This window comes from Homo sapiens, chromosome 2 (genome assembly GCF_000001405.40).
Source record: "Homo sapiens chromosome 2, GRCh38.p14 Primary Assembly".
In the NCBI taxonomy this organism is placed as follows: domain Eukaryota; kingdom Metazoa; phylum Chordata; class Mammalia; order Primates; family Hominidae; genus Homo; species Homo sapiens.
Window position 1 is genome coordinate 179017216 of NC_000002.12, and position 24484 is coordinate 179041699.

At 37.6% G+C, this 24484-nt stretch overlaps 1 protein-coding gene across 20 annotated transcripts in view, besides 2 other annotated features; it reads right to left on the reverse strand.

Annotated features, from left to right (window-relative positions):
• Positions 1-24484, reverse strand: part of CCDC141 (coiled-coil domain containing 141) — a 235160-nt gene that overhangs the window by 202238 nt on the left and 8438 nt on the right. The gene's annotated exons all lie outside the window — the stretch shown is intronic.
• Positions 14826-14905: an enhancer, noted in NCBI's record as "active region_16813". NCBI's record gives its function as "activates an Ori minimal core promoter by ATAC-STARR-seq in GM12878 lymphoblastoid cells {active_cell/tissue: GM12878}" and the evidence as "EXISTENCE:reporter gene assay evidence [ECO:0000049][PMID:35858748]".
• Positions 15086-15165: an enhancer, noted in NCBI's record as "active region_16814". NCBI's record gives its function as "activates an Ori minimal core promoter by ATAC-STARR-seq in GM12878 lymphoblastoid cells {active_cell/tissue: GM12878}" and the evidence as "EXISTENCE:reporter gene assay evidence [ECO:0000049][PMID:35858748]".

A 24484-nucleotide genomic window follows, 5' to 3' on the forward strand; every position in this document is an offset into this window, starting at 1 on the left:
TGAATAATAGTTGACTTTTGAAAAAAAATAATACTTATAGTTCTATCTTTTGATAGAGACACCTGTGTTAAGGAACCACACCATTCTATTGTAAACTAAAGAAGCCCATCTTACAAATGAGCTTCCACTTCTTACTTACATCTGATTTTTGAAGAAAGATGCTTTATAGGGGTGTATCTGGGGTGGGTGATAGCCCTTCTTTTCTGTTCCTTGGGAGTTAAGCACACTGGGTTCCCACCTTTCAAATCATTTCTGTGCCCTTCCTTAAATCCTCATTCCCCTGTTTTAAAGAGTAATAAAGCTCTCTCTTCTTGTTGGTGCCATCTTTAAACTTGAAGAAAGTGGCAGCTAGTTTACACAAACTATCCTAAAAGAAAATTAGACACTGTCTGAGGTGAAAAAATACACTTCAATCTATTTGCAAAGTATAAAAAAATCAATTTTTGTCCTTACCTTGAAAAAGAACACATATTCTCAGATATTTTTTAAAAATCAGGGCAGTTACCAAATAAAGCCCTTAGATAAACTGACATCAGCAATAATAACATTTTTTAAAACTAGTTGTTTAAGGGAACAAAATGGAATGCCCAGTTTACAGTGTAAGCAGACTTTGTGTTGACGATGAGGTATGGCACTTATAAGAAGAGCAGCCCATGAAAAATGGCTTGCCTCAAGACTCAGTCAAGCCCAGCTTGATTTAAGTTTTCCTCTCCTACTTGCTTAGTCATTAAACTAAGGAAAATATTTTGGAATTGGATCTGAGAAAAAGATGTTCTGGCCAACATCATAAAGCTGGTTATTTAAAGAAATGCTAAAAGACACTACTTCCCTTTTGCTTCCAAAAGGATAGGAAACCAAGGCTGTGCTGCAATACTTGAAAAATGCACTCTGTCTTTTTAAGTGTGGCTTTGAAATTGCTACTTTTAAGGACAGCCCATTTTATAGACGTTGCACCACCTCAACTGCTATGCGGACCACAAAAAAGGATTATGGACTTTCTCTTCAGTAGAGTGTTAAATGGTCCCCTGAATAGCAATTTTCTAAAAGAGCAAACATATGTGGCATATCCTGCATGTTTTCCTGACACTGGAGTCTATCTGTAACATAAACTGTGGGATACAGGTAGAGTCTCTAGTTTATAGAAACGCACTTAGTTTTACCACTAAACTGGAGGTAATTAATTTAAGACACTTAAAAGTAAAGAACACAAATTTTTAAAAACTTGGGGAACAGTAAATGGTTAAGTTCTATTATTTTTTCAGTCTCTTTCAAATAATGTCACAAATTTCTTTTAGCTTTTGCTGTTGTTTTTCTGAAGGATTTTAGCTAGAATGTTCTACACTTTAGCATCTGCCTATCTAAAACCTGTGAGCCTTCAAGTCCCAATTACAATGCTGCCTTCTCCATGAAACCCTTCTCTCCATAGCAGCAAAAAGTAACTCCTTCCTGTGGGCTCCTTTGTCACTTTCTTTCCACCTTCCTAATGTGGTTGTTATGTTTCACTCTTTGGTACAATTGTGAGTGAGCTAGTTTTAAATTCTGTAGATTACAAACTAGGCGAGAGCAAGAACAGTGTCACTCATTTTTGTACTTATTGGACAGTATAATATTTCTTTTTAAATACAATATGAAGTTAGTGAAAAAGGTAAGTAGCAAAAAAAGTACAAATCAATGTTCTAAAATTCATATTCAGAAAAGATAAGTCAATGAAATATGTTTCAGATAATTCTTTAAAAGCAAATATTAAAAAACAAAAATAAAAATCCAATTTCCATTTGATTATAATTTCCCAAAAGCCAGACCATGGCCCTCTTCTTTGGACACCCACAGCTCCAAGTTCAGAGCATTGCTTTTTGTCAGTGTTAATTACCATTTGGTTGCTCAAAAATAAAACTGTGTCCACTGAGCCAATGTTCCAAAGTCCAGCAAGCCAATATTATATTAGGAGACGAAAGTCTTTTTGGTTCCCAACATTTATCCAAATCCAAATACTTAATATATTTCCAAATATTTCTATCATCTTGATGCATCTCCCTGAAGACTCCAGGAATCAACAAAATATATTCACGGTCTACGTTGCTGATAAGTGAAGCACCTTTATATTTATAAAAAAAAAGAAGACTCCCATAATCGTTATTTCATCTATGCAGAACACTAATGATGAGAGAGAAGCATTCATGTGAAGACATATCAACACCAGGGTCTCACTATTGTACCCTTTGATTGCTCAATACTTACTGCACATCACTTCTTGTATCAGTAATTCTAGTTTAATGACGTAATATTTATTTCATACAGGAAAGCTTTTAGCAGTGTTCAGAAAGAAAAATCTACTCATAAACCGCTTTTATTTTCTTTCCCTTTCTATCCCCTTTACTTCACACTTTGCCTCATATCAAAAGTAAAATGATTATTCTATAGTAGGAAACTACACTTTAATAATTAATATTGACTTTAAAGTTGAAACAACATAGTTCCAATACATTGGTATAGCTCTTAGTCTATTTTGCGGTGATGGTAAGATCATTTTTATAAATATTTATTATTTATTTATTTTATTCATTTTATTGAGACAGTATCTCACTCTGTCTCCCAGACTGGAGCGCAGTGGCATGATTATGGCTCACTGCAGCCTCAACCTCCTGGGCTCAAGCAATCTTCCTACCTTAGCCTCCCAAGTAGCTGGGACTACAGGCATGCATCACCATGCCCAGCTAATTTTTCGAGACAGAGTTTCACCATGTTGCCCAGGTGGGTCTCAAACTCCTGAGCTCAAGCAATCTGACCACCTGGGCCTACCAAAGTGCTAGGATTACAGGCATGGACCACTATGCCCAGCTGGAAAGATCATTTGATAGATAAGATAAGAGAAAATAGTTTCATATTTATTAGCAATAAAGACTGTTATAACCGTCATGTAGAATCCAAAAAGTTCCATAGAACGGGCATGTGTATTTCAAATACAGGTGTGTGGTTTTTTTTCTCTCACTCAACAATGTAAGGAGCTTTAGGGTTAAAATCCAAAAGCATAATTTTACCTAAATATTTTCCTACTCTTTGTCAGTTATGTAGTCCCCACACTCCTATCCAGTGTGCCAGAGTGCTACTCTGGGCTGATCAACACTGCCCCACGCAGGGGAACTAAGGATCTGCATGTCAGAATCCTCCAAGCTGGAACTGGGCCAGTCTTAGGCTTACCTAGAAATATACACCTGATCCCATGAGACCACGTTGGCTGTGATATGATAGCACTTCTCATGGGATCAGGTGTATATTTCTAGATAGCAGCAGGCTTCCATGCTCAGCTTGTGCCAGGAAGCCACAGGATCCAACATCATGGAAAGATCATGAAAATGAGATTTTAATCAGAGTGTGAGTCCCAGCTCAGCCAGTTAATAAACCTGAGCAAGTCCCTTAATCTCCCTGAGACTCAGCTCCCTTACCTGTGAAAATGAGTCCATACCACACTGGCCCTTATTATATATACTAAAATGAGACAATGATATGAAAGCAGTCTCTAAAGTAAGTATGCATGCATTTATGTAATGTTAATTATTCTAATCTAGTTTTATGTGGATTCTATGAAGATATTTTAGTGGTTACAGCTCAGTTACATGCAATGCTTATATTTCTACAGGCTTCAACATTTCCTGATGGCAGTTAGGGTTAGCCATAAATGTTGATGGAATAAATAAGCAAATACGTGGTATGATTTCAGGGATGTAAGGAAAACCTTGATGTTGATAACAAATCCTTTCTCACATGCGGGCTGATTAGCATGTGATTGTTAGCACATCACCTGGCTACTGTTCAGTCTTCCATAAAAGTTAGTAACTTAGCATAATCACCATCATTAATAGTAACCAAAATGTAAGATAATTATAAGATAATAAATACTTTGGAAATTACATACTTCCTTTTATAGGCATTTTATGCCTTTATTTCACTAAGAAGTAGGTTGTACCTTCCGTTGTAAACCATGCTGAATTTGATTTTGAGTTTACACATACTGCTGACAGGCATAATGAATTTCTGGCTTCAACTATTTTTTCTGGTGAAAGAGAAATGAACATACCACCACTTAATTTTAGCTATGCAAACCTAATTGCCCATGCCTATCTGAAGGGGGTGTTACCCTGTCCTATTTGTATAGGCTGCCCCTAATCCAAACTGGCACACAAATAACAGAACTAGTATTCTGATTGGCTTCAGTTTGAAATAGAAGCTGCAGCTAATGAGCTGCTGAAAACCTGAGGGTCACAGCTGTCCCGAGTGGAAATCACCTCTAACTGAAAGCTAGACCACAGCCCTCAGTGAATTGAGAATTCTTGTGTCAACTCTTTAATTTTCAGGGGCTCCTGTGCTAAAACCAAATGAGTAAAAGATGAAATGGTTCTGCCGTCAGTAGGAAATGTCAGTGACATACACAGTAACAGAAAGAGACAAAATTATGAAAAGCAACTTGGAAAATTCTGACATTGTATTGAATCAGTCCATTTGGATTTAAAAAATAAGGATTTGTGTTTTCTTGGTCACTCTTCAAACTAGAACCATTTATTAAAGGACCATAAAATCTGTTTATAATGGAAATGCCAGCTACAACTTAGTCCCTTTATAATTATGAGACTAAGTATAATGTAAATGGAACCAGATCAGATATTTTCTTCTCAGTTTACTGCAAAATAATTGTTCCAAAAATATTTCTTTTGCATAGGCCTAATAAAAGATAGTATTTTAAAACATTTCAATGCATCTAAAAGGCTCTACAACATTAATTCTTATAAATGCGTCTCCTTAATTTTTTCTTTTTGGATATTTGCGTACAAATGACTCTTCCATATCTGTTCTGTTAAATGAAGTAAATAATGTAATTAGAAATAATCTACAGGTGTATGGACCAAATAATTAATAGTAGTTTCTGCTGTTTGAGGGAGTGGTCTGTACGCTTGGATTTGTTTGGATTTCACTACCTTTTTTGCAGAGTTCTGTGGCCTTTCAAGTGACCGAAAAAACAGTCCTGGAAGCTTATCAAGAATACCATTGTGTGTTTTACTGGGGAATCTGAACTCTACCATGCTTGAATAAAATACAAAAATAGCAACAAAGAGAATAACACATTCCCTAAGACTTGATGAAAGCTAGAACAATAGGAAGTTTTTGTACCAAACAGAAAGATAAATAAATACGAGCACTAAGCTAACGTCTGTTCACAGGATGAAGCCAAAGCCGAGGAAAGAGGCAGCTTTTCTACCTTGAAGACCTAGCTCTCTTCCCTGCCCCAAACACTGTTCCGTCTCACGCCACTTATTCCCACAACCTTGTATTAAATTCTACCTTCCCCATGAAACCACTCCAGCTAAATTAATTTCTCTTTCTCCATGAATATGTCTATGGTACTTTCACGATCAGTGTCTTTCATCTGGGGACTTAATTACTCAGATAGTGCCTTGATGTTGTGACTTCACTGTTATTTAACTGCTTTGTGAGTCTACCAGGGTCATTTTGTTCTCTATATATTGTACATCATATATTTCTGGAGGCCAAGAATGCCTTTTACATTTTGTGTGTGTGTCCCTTCCAATGCCAAGGACAGAGGCACACAGTAGACAGGGAAGCTAGCCAGGTGGAGCAGAGCCATCTTGATGCTATGTGACGTGGTTCCTGCAAATCCTATGAGATCCACGGCCTCAGTATTGCTAACTGAGTGGTCCTTTTCAGTCAGCTGAGAAGTGACGCGTACCATCCCTATGACTCCCCCAAATAAGTGGGATCTCATACTACAGTTAATGATTGAAGGGCACACAGCATGCTGGGTATGGGGAATCGCACAAAGGCACACCACTGGAGTGGGAGCCCCAGCTCCATGGCTTCCTAGCTATATGACCAGGGCAAATGACTGTATATACATTTGTATATACACACTTGTGTATGTATTAGTTTCTTCAATTGTAAAATGGAGATTAAAAATAATAAGAGGTAATCATTCAGCACTTACTATGTGTGAAGCCTTGTTTCAAATTCTTTAAAGGTTTCAACTCACTAAATCCTCACATCCACCTTCTGAGGTAGGTATTACTACCTCCATTTCACAGATGAGGAAACTGAGGCAGAAAGAGGATAAGTAACTTCCCCAGAGTTACACAGCCAAGCAGCAACACTGGAATGCACATCCAGGCAGGCAGAGCATACATACAAAACTGCTAAGTTATGTTGCCTGTTATGAAATTTAACTCATATGATTTTTTAAATATTAAACAGATTAATACATTTAAAACATTTAAAATATATGTAATGTTTGAAATTAAATATTAAATTTTTAAAAGTGGTTCTCACTAGCAATCATGCAATAAAAGTCCACTGTGTTATGTTTATACATATATCACAACTTGGGCTCTAAATTTCTTACAACTAATTTAGACAAAAACTATCTTGAAAAGAACTTAATGTGCACCAACACAATCTCTGTCCTGAGGAAAACTTACACTCTTATGAGAAATATATACATATGTAAAAATATAAGCAAACTAACATTAAAAGCAATGCTAAATGATGAGGAAGAGCCTTGGAGCTGCAGGTGCCAAGTGCAAATGGCCCTGCTCTACCCACAGAGAGTCTTATCTCATAGAGGTCTGGAGAGCTGCCCTTTAACAGGTACCCAAGATTATATGAATGTAAATACTTCATAAACCATGCTTGATATACATTATACAGGCCATGCTTGTGTAAGTACCACATTAATGTGACACTGTACTGTGCATAATGAGACATTGGTTGAGAAACTCGGAGGAAACACAGTAGAGAAAGACAGGCCCGGCTTAGGTGAGGGCAAAGCTCAGGAGGCCATAATGGCATTCCAAAATGAGGACATCTATAATTTACAGGGAAATCCATCCTCTGGCTCAGTTAAAAGAAGAATAATGACACAAATCAGAAAAACTAACAGCATTAATTATTCATCCGTTCCACCATGTTCTCTTAGGAGCCCAAATGTTCCATACATTAATAATTGAATCTTCTTCAAACCCTCAGAACTGTTGCAAGCAAGAACAGCAAGGTATGTGAATACCATTTAAATCATTGCTATTTTGTTTCTTTACCCACATTCCTTTTTCGCATGTTTCTTTTGTTATTACACAGAGATGAACTGTTCCTGTGATTATGTCATGAATATATGTATTCATTCATTCATTCCTTTATTCATTCATTCCACAAACATTTGTTGTACATGTAATCCAAGCATGGTGCTAGGCTCTATGGATAGAAATATGTCCACAATCTCACAAAGATGAAAATGAAACACTCATGGTCTGTCATGAAACACATACTACAGTAGAAGTAGGTAGGCTGCAAGTTATAGAAGGTACTCAGAGGAGGTCATGGCCAGTAAGGTAAGTGGCAAGCTCTCCAAGAAGGTTTCAGAGAGCAATGATAATTTCCTCATTGTCAGAGCTCACGTCAGCTTCCTCAAACACACTGCTGTTTTCGACACTACTCAATACTTCTGTGTTAGAATTTCCTTTTCTCCAAATGTTTGTGATGGGACCCTGAATATTTTTGCCTCTAACTTTCCATTAGTCTCTTTTTCAATTCCATTGATGGCACTTTAATGTTGTTGTTTAATGGAAAAATGTTTCTTTGGGTTATAGTCAGAGCTTCTTATTCCTCATTGTGTTTTAGAATTACTGCAAAAACTTTTTAAAAAAAACATACAGGCACTCCAGCCTTTCTTTGCCTCTTTGGGTTTGGGGCCTGAATATATGAGTCCTGTGGTTTATTTTTTTAAGTTCCTCAGTTGATTCTGATGCCAGCCCAGTTGAGAATCACCTACTTAGGCCTTCCTTCCTCTTCTCTACTGCTCCTTACAGAGATTGTTCATTTTCTTTTTCTTTTCTTTTTTTTTTTAACTTCTACTTTAAGATCAGGGATACATGTGCAGGTTTGTTATATAGGTAAACTGTGTGTCACAGGGGTTCGGGATACAGATTATTTTGTCACGCAGGTAATCAGCATAGTGCCTGATAGGTAATTTTTTGATCTTCACCCTCAGATATGGTTTGGCTGTCTCCCCACCCAAATCTCATCTTGAATTGTAACTCCCACAATTCCCAGGTGTTGTGGGAGGAACCCAGTGGGAAGTGACTGAATTACGGGGGTGGGTCTTTCCTGTGCTGTTCTCATATAGTGAATGACTCTCACGAGATCTGATGGTTTTAAAACGGGAGTTGCCCTGCATAAGCTCTCTCTCTCTTCATCTGCTGCCATCCATGTAAGACATGACTTGCACCTCCTTGCCTTCTGCCATGATTGTGAGGCCTCCCCAGCCACATGGAACTGTAAGTCCATTAAGCCTCTCTCTTTTGTAAATTGCCTAGTCTTGGGTATGTCTTTATCAGCAGTGTGAAAATGGACTAATACAGTAAATTGGTACCAGTAGAGTGGGACATTGCTGAAAAGTTGCCTGAAAATGTGGAAGTAACTTTGAAACTAGGTAACAGGCAGGGGTTGGAAGAGTTTGGAGGGCTCAGAAGAAGACAGGAAAATGTAGGACAGTTTAGAACTTCCTAGAGACTTATGGAATGGCTTTGTCCAAAATGCCACAGTGATATGGACAATAAAGTCCAGGCTGAGGTGGTCTCAAATGGAAATGAGAACTTATTGTGTTTTAGCAAAGAGATTGGTGGTATTTTGTCCCTGCCCTAGAGATTTGTGGAACTTTGAACTTAAGAGAGATGATTTAGGGTATCTGGCAGAAGAAATTTCTAAGCAACAAAGCATTCAAGAGATGAATTGGGTGCTGTTAAAGGCCTTCAGTTTTATAAGGGAAGCAGACCATAAAAGTTTGGAAAATTTGCAGCCAGACAATGTGATAGAAAATAAAATCCCATTTTCTGAGGAAAAATTCAAGCTGGCTGTAGAAATTTGCATAAGTAATGAGGGGCCAAATGTTAATTCCCACACAATGGAGCAAATGTCTCCAAGGCATATCAGAGGTCTTCATTGCAGCCCCTTCCATCACAAGCCCAGAGGCCTAGGAGGAAAAAGTGGTTTCATGGGCTGGGCCCAGGGTTCCTGTGCTGTGCATAGCCTAGGGACTTGGTGGCCTGCATCCCAACCACTCTAGCCATGGCTGAAAGGGGCCAACATAGAGCTCAGGCCATGGCTTCAGAGGGTGCAAGCCTCAAGCCCTGGCATCTTCCATGTGATGTTGAGCCTACAAGTGCACAGAAGTCAAGAACTAAGGTGTGGGAACCTCTGCCTAGATTTCAGAGGATGTATGGAAACACCTGGATGTCCAGGCAGAAGTTTGCTGCAGGGGTAGGGCTCTCATAGAGAACTTCTGCTAGGGCAGTGCAGAAGGGAAATGTGGGGTCAGAGCCCCCACACAGAGTACCCCCAGCAGCAGTGCCTAGTGGAGCTGTGAGAAGAGTGCCAGTCTCCTCCAGGACCCAGAATGGTAGATCCACTGACAGCTTGCACTGCGCACCTGGAAAAGCCACAGACGCACAATGCCAGCTCATGAAAGCAGCCAGGAGGGAGGCTGAACCCTGCAAAGCCACAGGGGTGGAGCTGCCAAAGACCATGGGAACCCACCTTTTGCATCAGCATGACCTGGAGGTGAGACATAGAGTCAAAGGAGATTATTATGGAGCTTTAAGATTTGACTGCCCTGCTGGATTTTGGACTTGCATGGGGCCTATAGCCCCTTTGTTTTGGCCAATTTCTCCCATTTGGAATGGCTGTATTTGCCCAATGCCTGTACCTTCATTGTATCTAGGAAATAACTAAATTGCTTTTGATTTTACAGGCCATAGGTGTGAAGGGACTTGCCCCACCTCAGATGAGACGTTGGACTGTGGACTTTTGAGTTAATACTGAAATGAGTTAAGACTTTGGGGGACTGTTGGGAAGGCATGATTGGTTTTGAAATGTGAGGACATGAGATTTGCTAGGGGCCAGGGTGAAATGACATGATTTGCTGTGTCCCCACCCAAATCTTATCTTGAATTGTAACACCCACAATTCCCACACGTCATGGGAGGAACCCAGTGGGAAGTGATTGCATTATGAAGGCAGGTCTTTCCTGCACTGTTCTCATGATAGTGAATGAGTCTCATGAGATTGGATGCTTTTAAAAATGAGAGTTTCCGGCCAGGCATGGTGGCTCACGCCTGTAATCCCAGCATTTTGGGAGGCTGAGGCGGGCGGATCACAAGGTCAGGAGATCAAGACCATCCTGGCTAACACGGTGAAACCCTGTCTCTACTAAAAATACAAAAAAAATAGCTGGGCATGGTGGCGGGTGCCTGTAGTCCCAGCTACTTGGGAGGCTGAGGCAGGAGAATGGCATGAACCCGGGAGGTGGAGGTCGCAGTGAGCCAAGATCGTGCCATTGCACTCCAGCCTGGGCAACAGAGTGAGACTCTTACTCTCAAAAAAAAAAAAAAAAAAAAAAAAAAAAAAAAAAAGTTTCCCTGCACAAGCTCTCTCTCTGTCTGCTGCCATCCATGTAAGATGTGACTTGTTCCTCCTTGCCTTCCACCATGATTGTGAGGCCTCCCCAACCATGTGGAACAGTAAGTCCATTAAACCTCTTTCTTTTGTAAACTGCCCAGTCTTGGTATGTCTTTATCAACAGCGTGAAAACTAGCTAATACACCCTCATCCCATTGTTCACCCAAAATTAGCCCTGGTGTTTGTTGTTCCCTTCTTTGCATCCATGTGTACTCAATGTTTAGCTCCCACTTATAGGTGAGAACATGCAAGATAAGATTGTTCATTTTCACCTCCTTTCCTCTCATGGTTTCCTGAACTGCCTAGAAACAGTCATCAGACTGAGAATACTGGATCAAGAAGTCACCATCCCAGACTTCCCACCCAGGATACCATGAGATCAATTCCACTATGAGCACTGGGCATTACAAGGCTGGTAACTCCACCTTGCCTTACATTCCTCCTGTTTTTGTTCACCTAAGAACTGGTCATCTGTCTGCTTTATAATCTTCCTATCACTGCTTCCCTTCCTTCCAAACTTCACAACTGTATCTCATGGAAATTCAGATTCATAGCAAATGAACTCTTCACTAACACTCACACTATACTTTATAAGTGCAGTCTGCTCATTTCCTGAACCCTCATCTCTCCCATACTAACAAAAGCTTCGCAGTCAGCATCTTCCATTTGCTTCAGTGGAACAACAGTTTACCCTTACTACTGCAGATTTTTCTCTTTACATTTGTTCATTAAACAATTGCAACTTTGGATCCAGCACCACTGCTCCCCTGAAACTATTTTAGCAAATTATGTCAGTGACCTCCAATCTGCCAATATAAAGGACATTCTGATTCAAAATGGTACCCTTTGGCAATCATGTAATAATACCAGTGGGATATCTGTTTTTCTTATCCTATAGGATTTAAGGTTTGGGATTATCTTCAACTTTTCCCTCACTATCTATGTAAAATTATTGATTCTAAAATATATTCTTTATAATTCATTACTTTATCAAAATATATTATAGAAATATACTATGTTGCTATAACAAAACCTTTAAAATTTTATCCTGTTCACTCTCACTCAAAACCCCAGTCTAAATTCCAACGTCTATTAATAGTCTCCAAATACTTATTTTAACTCCCCAAATTTCCCATTCAAGTCCATCCCACATATAGTTATAAAGGCAACCTTCGTAAAACTCTATTTTGTTAAATCTACCCCCGCTTTAAAAACCCACTCTTGGCCACAATCAAATCTAACTGTGTAGCCCGGTGGGTACTGCCATTCAGCCCCAGCCCCTATTCTCCATAACAATGTAGCCTCATCTCATATTTGCTGACAGAGATCTTCATGTGCCCCATGTGTATTTTGCTTATATTTGTCTCAGCCAAATATCTCAGGATATTTGCTAATCCTGTACTCTAATCTGGAATGCCAGTCTGATTCCTAATCTTTACCCATCACTTCTTTTGAGATCCAAATAAATACTTCCCTCTCTTGGGCTGATGACTATGAGCCATCTGTCAGCATTTTGTATATAGTCTTCCATATATTATCTTGCCATGATTGTATTTTAAATATTAATAATACCTCTTTAAATAAGTTAGAGTAGCAATGACTAATAGTATTGTAGGCCATTGTGGGACTTGGGCATAGCCACTTCTGAATTTGTTTAATCATCTGTGAAATGAAAATATTTCCTATCTCACAAGGTTAATTTAAAGATTAAATATCTAATGCATCTAATACAATGACTGGCATATAGTAGATGATTCATAGATAGTAACCATTATTGCTTCTATAAGTTTTTCAAGGGGGTAAAAACTTTATTTTGCAATATTTCATATCCACAATCCTTTGTGTACCAACTCTGAGCTGGATACACAGAGGGTGTCCCATAGTTACATATTGGATCCATAAGTTAATCATGAACATTCTAGGAATTACAACAAAATCCTATTTGCAAGCTTAGCTGGGATTTTTGGTTAGAAGTATAAACATGATTTATTAAAAGGAATCACTTACAATAACTAATAAATGGGTTATGATGGAAATTTCAGGGTTGAAAATGTTGTTTGATATCCCTGTGCTTAACTAACCCTTTTTGCAGGCCAGTTCTAAGTCTCAGGTGATATAGAAAGTTTTCTGTTCTTGGAAGAAAAAGAAAATCCACAATTTATAATTTTTTGTCTTTCTAATCTTGATTAATTATCCAATACTTTTTCCAGGTGTCTTGCTTAGTCCTGGAGAACAGGCTTTACCAGAGATTTAAATCTTTATCCCATTTGTATATGTAATATCCAGAGCATGATTCTCTCTTCTCTAAGCACAATACATTAAATGGCTATAAACACTGATAGAACACTGAAGTTATTAGAGATCATATTCTTAAATAACATATATATCTCCCCCTTTGCTTGTTATTCAGAACTTAGGCTGTCATCTACAACCACAAATGAAAATTAGTCATATGTGAAATATTTATAAATAAATTAATACCAAAAACAATTTTTAAGTTAATTCATTTTCCAAATATGCTAACAGAAAGCAAATTCTTGCTTTGTATTATGCATTCGTCACTCAAGTAACAAAATACACAATCTTTAATGACCCGTTAACCAACATTAAGCAAAACTAACTATGGCATATTAACAAAATCCTTTTAGCTATTTTTAGAATCTGAATTGCATTTGGCCTCCCGTGTTGTTATCATTAAGAAACATAACCATAAAAAATCCACTGAGCAATATTTGAGCAATGGATGAACACTGAACAACAAATTAATTACATATAATATTATTAGTGAAATGTGCATTAATGCTCCCAGAATTTGTAAACAGACAATTCACCATTTAATTACTGTCTTTTACTGCTAGCCTTTCAAACTGGATTAGTATATTTTCATTTCATTGTTGCAAAATGCTTATATAATTCATTCATTTTAAAGAAATTACTTTTCTAAGTAAAATAATTGGAATAGTTACTACATACATATACAAATAAATTTACACACATACCTATTTTTGAAAATATGACATTAGGAAAAATATTCCTACTCATCCTATGACAGTGTCTAATAATACTGCTTTATTAATTGCCTTCAAACATTTGCTACTAGAAATAATTTGGCCTGGTTTTCTTTCTTTTCTTATCCTTGAAATAAATCTCATCTCACAATTTTCGTTTTCAGGCTCTGTATGCATTAGTTTGGTAAGCAGGCTTTTCCTGGGCTAAAAAAATGAACTATTTTCATTCCCAAAAGATTTAGTCTTCTTTATTCTCTAAATCTGCATTACCCAATATAGAGGGCCACTAGCCACCTGAAAAATGACTTGTTCAAATTCTGATGTGCTATGAGTATAAAGTGTATACAGGACTTTGAAGTTTTAATATAAAAAAGACTAAACTATCTCAATTTATAAAGATTAGATGCTAAGAGATAATATTTATATATATTGGGATAAATTAAACATATTATTAAATTATTTTCACTTGTTTTTTTTTTTCTTCTTGAGTAGTTTTCGTAGCTTATGATTTTTAAGGGTTTGGTTTCTTTCATCTAAGTGTTGAATATGTGCACAGAGTTGTTCATAGTATTCCTTTATTATGCTTTTAATATCTGTGGGGTTTATAGTGATACCCATCTTTTACGCCTAATATTAATAATTTTTGCCCTCTTTCTTTCCTTTCTCAGTCTGGCTGAGAAAGCATTTCAAAAAACCAGCTTTTGTTCTTACTGATTTTCCCTGTTGGTTTACTATTTTCAATTTCATTGATTTCTGCTTTTATCTTCATTTTTTCCATCATTCTGCTTGCTCTGGCTTTAATTTACTCTTATTTTTCTAGTTCCTTAAGGGAAAAGCTTAGATCATCAATTTGAGACATTTATTCTTTTGTAATGTAAACATTTAATGCTCCAGAATTCATATATGGAGTACCAAAAAATTTAAATTACATATGCAGCTGACATTTGTGGCTTGTCTTATGCATTTCTATTTATTGCTGCTCCAAGAAGTATGACACACTAGCAAAGTGTTTTCTTTTCAACATGTTAATAAAAGTTTAATAGCCTATGGTATCACTGAACCTAAGAATCTCAGGCACTCAAAGCAGTCAGCAATAGCCTTGGGTGGTTTGGGTTTCTCCAGTTTCAACTACGGAAATACTTAGGATGGGTTTTGAGTTGGCTGTTAAAGTGCAAAACATGTCTTATGAAACTGAATTTGAGAGCTTGTGGTTCTTCAGAGTTTCCTGTCTACTGACAGAGTAGTTAAACTTACTTTTAAAAAAAATCACAGAACCATCTATACAATATGAGTTATAGAGCTGAAAGGTGAGACTGCTCTCTCACCTTCTCTGTCTTCCCACTTTACTGGCTTGACTCAGTGCCTGAAATTTGTACCCTGGAAACCCCCCTTACTGGTTCTCTGGCATTAAAGCAGGGGCTTTAGGTTCCTCACTCTGCTGTGCACATCCTCTCATGGCACCTGTAGGACCAAGCAGCAGAAAGGATGGGGAGAGAAAAAAAGCAATGTGAATTCATTCCAAGCTCTGGGACCATTGATCTTCTGGCCAGTTTTCCCCTCTCTTGGAGGTTTAGGCATCTGCCTGGTTGCTTCCACTTTCACTATCACGACTGCCATTTGGGGATGGGGGTGGTGGTGGCTTGGACTGAGGCAGAGACAATAGAAACACAAAAAGCAAAAAACAAAAGCAAGGGATTTTCCCTCTCCCTCTCTGACCCTTGGATCCTTTTTCCTCTGCTCACAACTAAAAGAGAGGGCTTTTCTGGAACTTTTTCTGTCCACATCTGGTACGTATATCAGGGTGTCAGTTTGTCTTTGAATTCAACCGGGAAATACCAGAGCAAGGACATATGAAAACACTGCTGGTTTGGTGGTATTTGGATTTCTAATCCTTTCCCCTAATCTATCTGCCGGCATTAACTCTTCATCATCCTTGTCATACATGTATTCCACCTGGGTTTATAGTTGCAGTTAGTGGAGACAGGGTGGAGGATGATCATTTCATCTTTCCTGGTACTAGAACCAGTAAAAAAGACAAAAATTCTAATTTCGCTCAAGGACCTAAGTTTCAAATATATGGTAGCAAGGAGATGGAGGACACAGAAAATTTGGAGAACAGGGCTAATCATAGAGTCAGAAGTTTGCTTTATTCTCCAGAAGAGTAATAGCTAGATGAACTTGTCATGAGAATGACATAGCCATGCCACTTGAAATCTCTAGTGTTTTACACATTTATACATTATTATATATCTCAGAATATTATATATATATATAATATATAATATTATATATATTATAAAGTCTATAGTTTAGAAAAGATGCATTCTGGCTAAGGCTAATCAGGCAGAAGTCATAGTGGACTTAAAACACACAGACAAACCAAAACAAAAGAAAAGAAAATGCTCTCATTCTAGGCTAAGTCCAATACATATGGACAGTTGGTTCTTCACATCCACATCCACAGATTTGATAAACCATGTATAAAAATATTCAGAAAGAAATAACATAACAAAAATTAATACAAATATGAAACCAATGTGCTATGATATTTGCATAATGTTTACATTATTTTATATATTGTAAGTCATCTATAGATGATTTAAAGTATAAAGGGGGATGTGCATAGCTTATATTGCAAATACTATGCCATTTTATAAAAGGGACTTGAGCATCAGTGAATTTTGATATCTTCAGAGATCCTGGAACCAATCCCACACAGGTACTGAGAGACAATTTTATGTCTTTTCTAGAGTAGAAAGATCTGTTACCTTCTGGACAGAATACAAAAGTATATTTTTATCCTAATATTTAATCTTACTCAGACATATTGAAGACTGGGAGTAGGGGATGGATGGATTCTGTGTCCACTTTATCTCTGTCATTTTCATTTATATTGAACTGTCAGAGTTTTGTCCTGTCTGTCTAAATCTCAGACCTAGAACCTTTTTGTCATACTAATAAGAACTATGGGTTCTATTTTCCATGAAAAAATTTTGTTTGTAGGTTTATATTTTAAAGGACTACCTTCTAAATAGAAAATTAATAGCTGGAGACTACAGGCCTATGATTTCAAAAATGCTAGCTATGATCCTGGCCTTTCAAATAGAAATGTTTTTAGTGACAAATAACATAAAGCCCAACCAACACTGGCTTAAACTTCTGAATTTATCTATGTCACAAGTAAGAAGCCTGGGGCTCAGCATAATATTTCACAGTATGAAAAAAGCATAAATTACTAATTTAAAACTTTATTTCTCCTGTTATTATATATTGTTTTGTTTCTAGTTAAGTTGTTCTACTAAAAACACATATGTTCATTGCGGCACTATTCACAATAGCAAAGACATGGAATCAACCTAAATGCCCATCAGTGGTACACTGAATAAAGAAAATGTGGTATATAAACACCATGGAATACTATGCAGCAATAAAAAAGAATGAGATAATGTCCTTTGCAGTGACATAGATGGAGCTGGAGGCCATTATCCTTAGCAAACTAAAGGAGGAACAGAAAACCAAATTTTGCGTGTTCTCACTTGTAAGTGGGAGCTACATGATGACAGATGGAAATGGACACATGGAGGGGAACAACAGACATTGGGTCCTAATGGAGGGTAGAGGGTGGGAGGAATGAGAGGATCAGGAAAAACAACTAGTAGGGTGCTAGGCTGAATACTTGGATGATGAAATAATCTGTACAACAAACCTCCATAACACAAGCTTCCCTAAAGAGCAAACCTGCACGTGTACCTCTGAACTTAAGTTTTAAAAAATGTGAAAACATGGTCAATATGAGAGCAAAAGCATCTTTATATCAATATCTCTATGAGTGCTTTCATTTCCAAGGATAGTTTCCTGGAGGTGAAGCTAGTAGATCACAGAATGCATGCATTTTACATTTGAATGCTTTCCGGTTTCCAAAAGGTTGTGTCAGTCCAAAGTCTCAACCAGTCTTTCCTCGCATTCTTACCATCATTGGATGTTATTGATATTTTGAATTCATAATGGTATATTAGGCAAATAATGGTGTATCTTTTTAATGATTGTTTCATTTCTCAGGTAATTCTGATGTTGATCTTCTTAAATGTTTACTGGAAATGTATTTCTCTTTTGTAAATAGTCCATTTTTATTGATTTTATTTGTATTTCTTATCAATATGAAGGATTATAACCATTTGATTTCCACGTAAATTGCAAATATTTTTCTCCCTATCTATTGTTTGTCCATTAAATTAGTCTATGGGTTCTGGAAAACTCATATTCATCTCCAGGACAGTTCAAATATCAGTTTTTCTGTCAAGGTTTTCCTGGAAGAACTAAATACCCTATTTTCCACAATATACCCATAATAGTTTGTGTAGATCTCTGTGTGCTGAATTATAACTACAACATTTTTCTGTCTATCAAGAAACTATATCAGAATGCAGGTCAAACAGTCTAACATTATGATAGTCATATCTTTGAATCTGTCCTCATTCATTCTTCATAAAGAAAACCTCTCATAAATTCAGAATTTTCTTTTTATTTATCATTAGGATTATCACCCCATCTTTCACGTTAGAGAAACTCAGTTCCACTTATCCACTGTCTTCCCATAAAAACTCTTGTTTTCTTCTGCCTGTGCCTTTTCATTTATAAGCACTGCCTTCAAAGTCCCTATAGGGTGCTCCTTCTGTATTTGCACTCTGTTCCAGTTGTGGCTGTGTAACACACCACCCCAAATTCTAGTAGCCTGGAATAGCAACCATTTACTTTGTTCATGATTCTCAATTTGGGCAGGACTCAGTGGAAAAGGCCTGTCTCTGCCCCATGCAAGTCAGCTGGGAGGCTCAACTGGGACTGGAGAATCTACTTCCAAGGTGGCTCATTCACATGACTGGAAGTTGATTGACTGTTGGATTTCAGCCAAAGCTGTTACCTGGGAGCCTCAGTTCTCCTCAACATGGGCTTCTCTACAGTGCTGTTTGACTTCCTCACAAGGTGGGTGGGTTCCCAGAGTTACAATTCCAAGTTTCAGGAAGTAAAAGCAGCCAGTCTCTTGAGGCTGGGGCCCAGAATATGGCACAGCATCATCATATTACTCTAAACAGTCACAGAGTCTCCAATTTTAAGGGAAGGGACATAGATCCCACTTCTCAGGAGGAGACATTTCAAAGAATTAGTAGCCATCTTTCATCTACCATAATATTCCTGAGTACTGGGTCTTTTCAAAGTTGCCAAAAGAGTTGACAGTATTCACTATAACCAAGCCAGGTTCTGTTCCTTGCAGAAATATGGAGGACACCTCTCTTTTTTGCCCACTCTGTGTCATTTGGTGTTCCAGCAACAAAGGAGTATGGCGTGTGCCTCATCTTTTTCAAAGGCCCATCAGCCTCTGCTAAGAAGTCCAACCTTGATTCCTGGGCCAGGACAGGGCCGAGGTCAGGAGTGTCTTTTCTAAATTTTCTTACTCTTCAGTCTCTGCCTACAAAATTCTCTCCTTCCAGAATTCTTGCCCCTTTGGTAAATCAACTCCCATCAACACTTCATTGGTTATGGTCATACTCTAAACTCCTGCTCAACCTGAACCGGTAACAAATTATGTGTGATATCCGGAATATTATGTGCCCTAACTCCATGTTGAAGAAGCCTATTTTAATGGACACCGTAGACTCTCTTAAATCAACATGTCTCACATCCACTTGTGAAAACTATGTTTTACAGAATCGGCCAAGGCACTTTTCAAATGTAAAGAATGCTATTTAAACTTAAGCCCCTTGGACCACTGCACTGCTCCCTTCTAGTCACTGGAAATGAACCAGGGAAAGAAACACTGTATAAACAAGGAAGTGCCAAGCGAGGCAGGGAAAGTCACCAGGAAGTTGTGCTGCCTCATAGTTGTGAGAACACTATTTTCATTTTTTAGTGGAAAAAGTTCTCCATTTTCAAAACCCTAAAAGAGAAATTAAAGCACTGACTAATTCCCACTAGACCACAATTCTGGCATTGTTCCCATGTTGTTCCAGTCACCTTCTTCAAAATGCTCCATGCAAAATAAGGCCAGAACTTTACATACATAGAAGATGAGAACACCATCCATTTCAAACACAGATCAATACGTGTTTGAATTTGGAAGGTGCCAATTGATCTCACTCCTTTCTCTTCAAGATTCTGAATCAACTGAGAAATAGAAATCAGGGTGAGGGAAGGATAAGAATATATGCTGTTATTACTGGTAAAGCTGGACTGGAGGATGGGGTTGATTTGCATTTCTGCATTTTCTCCCTGTAACCTATCCCATAGAACCTCCCTGTGGAGACAGGTGGATCTGAGGCACAGATACATAACTAGCTGCCCTAGGTGGGACTCTGGCCTGTGTCTGCCAAGTGGGGACATCTGGCCAGGTGAGGAGAAACAGAGAGAGAAGAGAACCTGCAACCCATAGTTCAGTGGATCTGTGGAAAGAGCCCTTGAGGCTTCCCCAGTCTCACCAGTCAGGTGACACAGGCCTCCCTACTTGTGTAGGAAAGAGAAAGTGAGGAGATATAAGTGGAAACATCTTCCCTAACACTTCTGAGAGAGTAAATTCTTGAAGGCGTGGGTCAACAGGAGCACAGGGAAAGAGATAAAGTGGCTCCTGTATAAACTAAGCATTTAGAGAAAAACACTGCTATGACATAGGTAATGTGAAACAGGTTAGTCCTCTTCTAACACTGTCTGAAAGTGTTTCTTCACATTCACAACACACATGCTATGAAATTTCCTCTAATATGTAAGTATAAATAATTCGAGTCACGCAGCTTTGGAATACATTCTTAAAGAATATCATCAAGAAAATGAGAAGCAGCCTACAGAATGGCAGAAGATATTTGTAAATCATGTATCTGATAAGGCATTAATATCTAAAATATAAAAAGAACTTCTACAACTCAACAACAGAAAATCCAAACAACGTGCTTTAAAAGTGGACAAAGGATTTGAATAGATATTTCACCAAAAAAGATATACACTGGCCAATAAGCACATGAAAAGATGCTCAACATCATCCACTTTAGGGAAATACAAATTAAAACCACAATAACATATCACTTCACACCTAATAGGATGGCTATGACTTTTTAAAAAAGAAACAAACAAGAAACAACAAGTTATGGACAAGACGTGGACCAATCGGAACACATATAATGTTGGTGGGAACAAAAGTTGATGCAGTTGCTGCGGAAAATATTTTGGTGTTTCCTCAAAACACTAAAAACAGAAATACCCAGCACAGGACCCAGCAATTTCACTCCTACATATATATTCAAAAGAATTGAAAACAGATACTCAAACAGATACTCGTACACCAATGTTCATTGTAGCAGCATTCATAAGGGCCAAAAAGTGGAAACAACTCAAGTGTCTATTGACAGATGAATGAATAAACAAAATGTAGCATGTCATTACAATGGATTATTATTCATTATTCAAAAAGGAATGAAGGTCTGATACATGCTGCAAAATGGGTGAACCTTGAAAACATCATATGCTAAGTGAAATAAGTCAGGCACAAAAGGACAAATATTGTGTGATTCCATTTATATGGGGTACCTAGAATAGACAAATTCATAGAGACAGAAAGTGGATTAGAGCTTACCAGTGGAAGTAATAATTAGAGTTATTTTTTTACTGGGTACTGAGTTTCTGTTTGGGGTGATGAGAAAGTTTTGGAAATACATAGTGGTGATGGTTGCACAACATTGTGAATGTAATTAATGCCACTGAATTGTACATATAAAATGAATAAAATGGCAAATTATATGTTATGTATGTTTTACCATAATAAAAATATTTTCTAAATGCATTCTTAGTAAATATTTCAGACGAACACCAGAAAACCTCACTATCTCTTATTTAAGGTAAGTTTTTGTAAGACTTTTAGTTTTACTACTAATATATTCTATTTATAGTACATTCATTTCTAGCACAGAAAATAGAAATAGGGCAAAAATAAGCATTCCCTGAATTGGAGATTTAGTCAGAAGAGGAAACCAGTAAATTTATGAGAGTCAAATTAGAGGTGAAATTTTCCAGTGTTTTACCACTCTAAAGGGTCATTCTTCACTGAATGCCAACTGCAAATACAGTTGCCAGTGCCCAGGAGGTTTTCTTGACTCTTACAGTCATAATTCCCCTAGACAATAGCAATGTAATGGAAAGTCAGATGTTAAGAAGAACATTCTTGGCAACTTCCCTAAGGAATTTCCAACCTTTTTTCCTCCTTTAACACTCTGCACCTCACCTGAGGATGTAATGTCAATAGTAGCCACAGGCAGATCTTCTTTACCTGGCTTAAATCTGCCTTTTCTGGAATCCTTCTTTTTCATTATAAATGACTTGAATATGGTTTGGAAATCTAGACGCCTTTTGGGAGTTAAAGTTTTTTCCACTTGATTTTATTTTCATCACTGAAAACAGGAAAATATTTTTTCTTTGGACACTCCACTAAGATTAAGTACATTGCAGAAGGGAAAATAAGATCTCTAGCGTACAGATATTACCAACATTAGAGGCCCTTATAAAAATTCTCAGTTTTCGGAATTTTTTTCTTTAGTCTATCTAAATTACTAGGGTTTGAGATAATTTTCAGTGGAAAGCAGAAAATAGCTTTTCTATTAAATTAAACATTTAATATACCAAATTACTCTGAAACACTCATTAACATAATAATTATGCCACTTTTTCTTTGAAAAGCAGCATGTACTTCCATATATTATTGTATTTCTTACCCAAATTTTCTTTTTAGGTGTGTGAAGGTAACCGTTATTATTATTCTAATTTCTCAAATAAAGACCCTGAGACCAGAGAGACTTAAGTGTTGTGCCCAAATCAGAGTTGACTCAGCACCGAATCCTACACCCTTCCAATGCCATTTTCACAGCATTCTTTATGATTAGAACAAATTGCAAGACCCTGTACATACAAAAAGGACTGGAATAAACATTAAATATTAAGTATTATTGGCTTATTGAACTACTAATGTCCTCATCCTTCAAAAGCTCATATTCAAACCAACTTGGATCCAACAATTTTCTGCTACAGGTTAAGTTTGTGCCTATCTTGACAGCATATTAGCTAGTAAATTGGTTGAATTTATGATCTATCCATTTGTGAAATGGAATTTATATTTTCATTATTTTTAAAAGTCTTTTGTCAGCAAATCTGAAATAGACTTTAGACTTCTTGATAATTTTTTTCTTTTCTAGACTCATAATATTAGAATTAGGTATATCTAGATGATAAAACTACTAGTTAAAGTTTGTTAGGGCTGAGTGGCTGGATTGAAAGTGGTGAGTGGTTGGGGGAGAATATGAGAGATGAACCTTAAGAGGTTATGGCTAGAGGTCCAGATGAAGGTAAAAGATCTTTTGGTTTGAGACCTCATTTTCTTAGACCCATGTGCAGGGAGGGAGACTGGCACATTGTGGTAAGATCCACAACAAATATGAAGCTTCGATCTGTCCTGTTCCCTCATTTTAAAGATAAAAAGCCTAAAGTCCAGAGAACTTAAATGGCTAGTCCACACATAGCCTGAAGGGCATCAAAGAACAAGATGTTTAATTCTAGAACCAGTGTCTTCTAAAGAGCATAGAAAAGGAAACCCCTCTTCTTTCTTTTATTTCCAACTTTAATTTTAAGTTTAGGGCTAAATGTGCAGGATGGGCAGGTTTGTTACATAGGTAAATATGTGCTATGGTGGTTTGCTGTACAGATCATCCCATCACCCAAGTATTAACCCTAGTATCCATTAGGTATTCTTCCTGATGCTCTCCCTCCTCCCACCTCCCACCCTCTGACAGGCACCAGTGTGTGTTGTTCCCCCAACTGTGTCCATGTGGTCTCATCATTCAGCTCCCCCTTATAAGTGAGAACACATGGTATTTGGTTTTCTGTTTCTGAGTTAGTTTGCTAAGGACAATGGACTCCAGTTCCATCTATGTCCCCGCAAAGGACATGATCTCATTCCTGTTTATGGCTACATCATATTCCATGTTATATATGTACCACACTTTCTTTATCCAGTCTATCATTGATGGGGATTTAGGTTGATTCCATGTCTTTGCTATCATGAATAGTACTGCAATGAACATACTCATGCATATAACTTTATAACAGAATGATTTACATTCCTTTGGGTATATACCTAGTAATGGATTGATGGGTTGAATGGTATTTCTGCCTCTAGGTCTTTGAGGAAATGCCACACTGTCTTCTACAATTCAACAATGATTCAACTAATTTACACTCCTACCAGCATGGTAAAAGCATTCCTTTTCTCCAAATCCTCACCAGCTTCTGCTGTTGTTTTGTTTGTTTGTTTGTTTGTTTGTTTGTTGAGACAGAGTCTCACTCTGTCACCCAGGCTGGAGTGCAGTGGTGCGATCTCGGCTCACTGCAAGCTCCGCCTCCTGGGTTCACGCCATTTTCCTGCCTCCACGCCATTCTCCTGCCTCAGCCTCCAGAGTAGCTGGGACTACAGGCGCCCACCACCACGCCTAGCTAATTTTTTGTATTTTTAATAGAGACGGGGTTTCACCATGTCTGCTGTTTTTTTGACATTATAATAACAGTCATTCTGACTGGTATGAGATGGTATCTCATTGTGGTTTTGATTTACATTTCTCTAATGATCAGTGATTTTGAGCTTTTTTTAATGTTTGTTGGCTGCATGTATGTCTTCTTTTGAGAAGTGTCTGTTCATGTCCTTTGCCTATTATTTAATCGGGTTGGTTGTGGGTTTTTTTTTTTTTTTTTTTTTTTTTGCCAAATAACCAGCTAGCATCATGATGACAAGATGAAATCCACACATAACAATACTAACCTTAAATGTAAATGGAAATGCCCCAATTAAAAGACACAGAATGGCAAGCGGGATAAAGAACCAAGATCCATTGGTATGCTGTCTTTAAGAGATCATCTCACATGCAAAGACTCACATAGGCTCA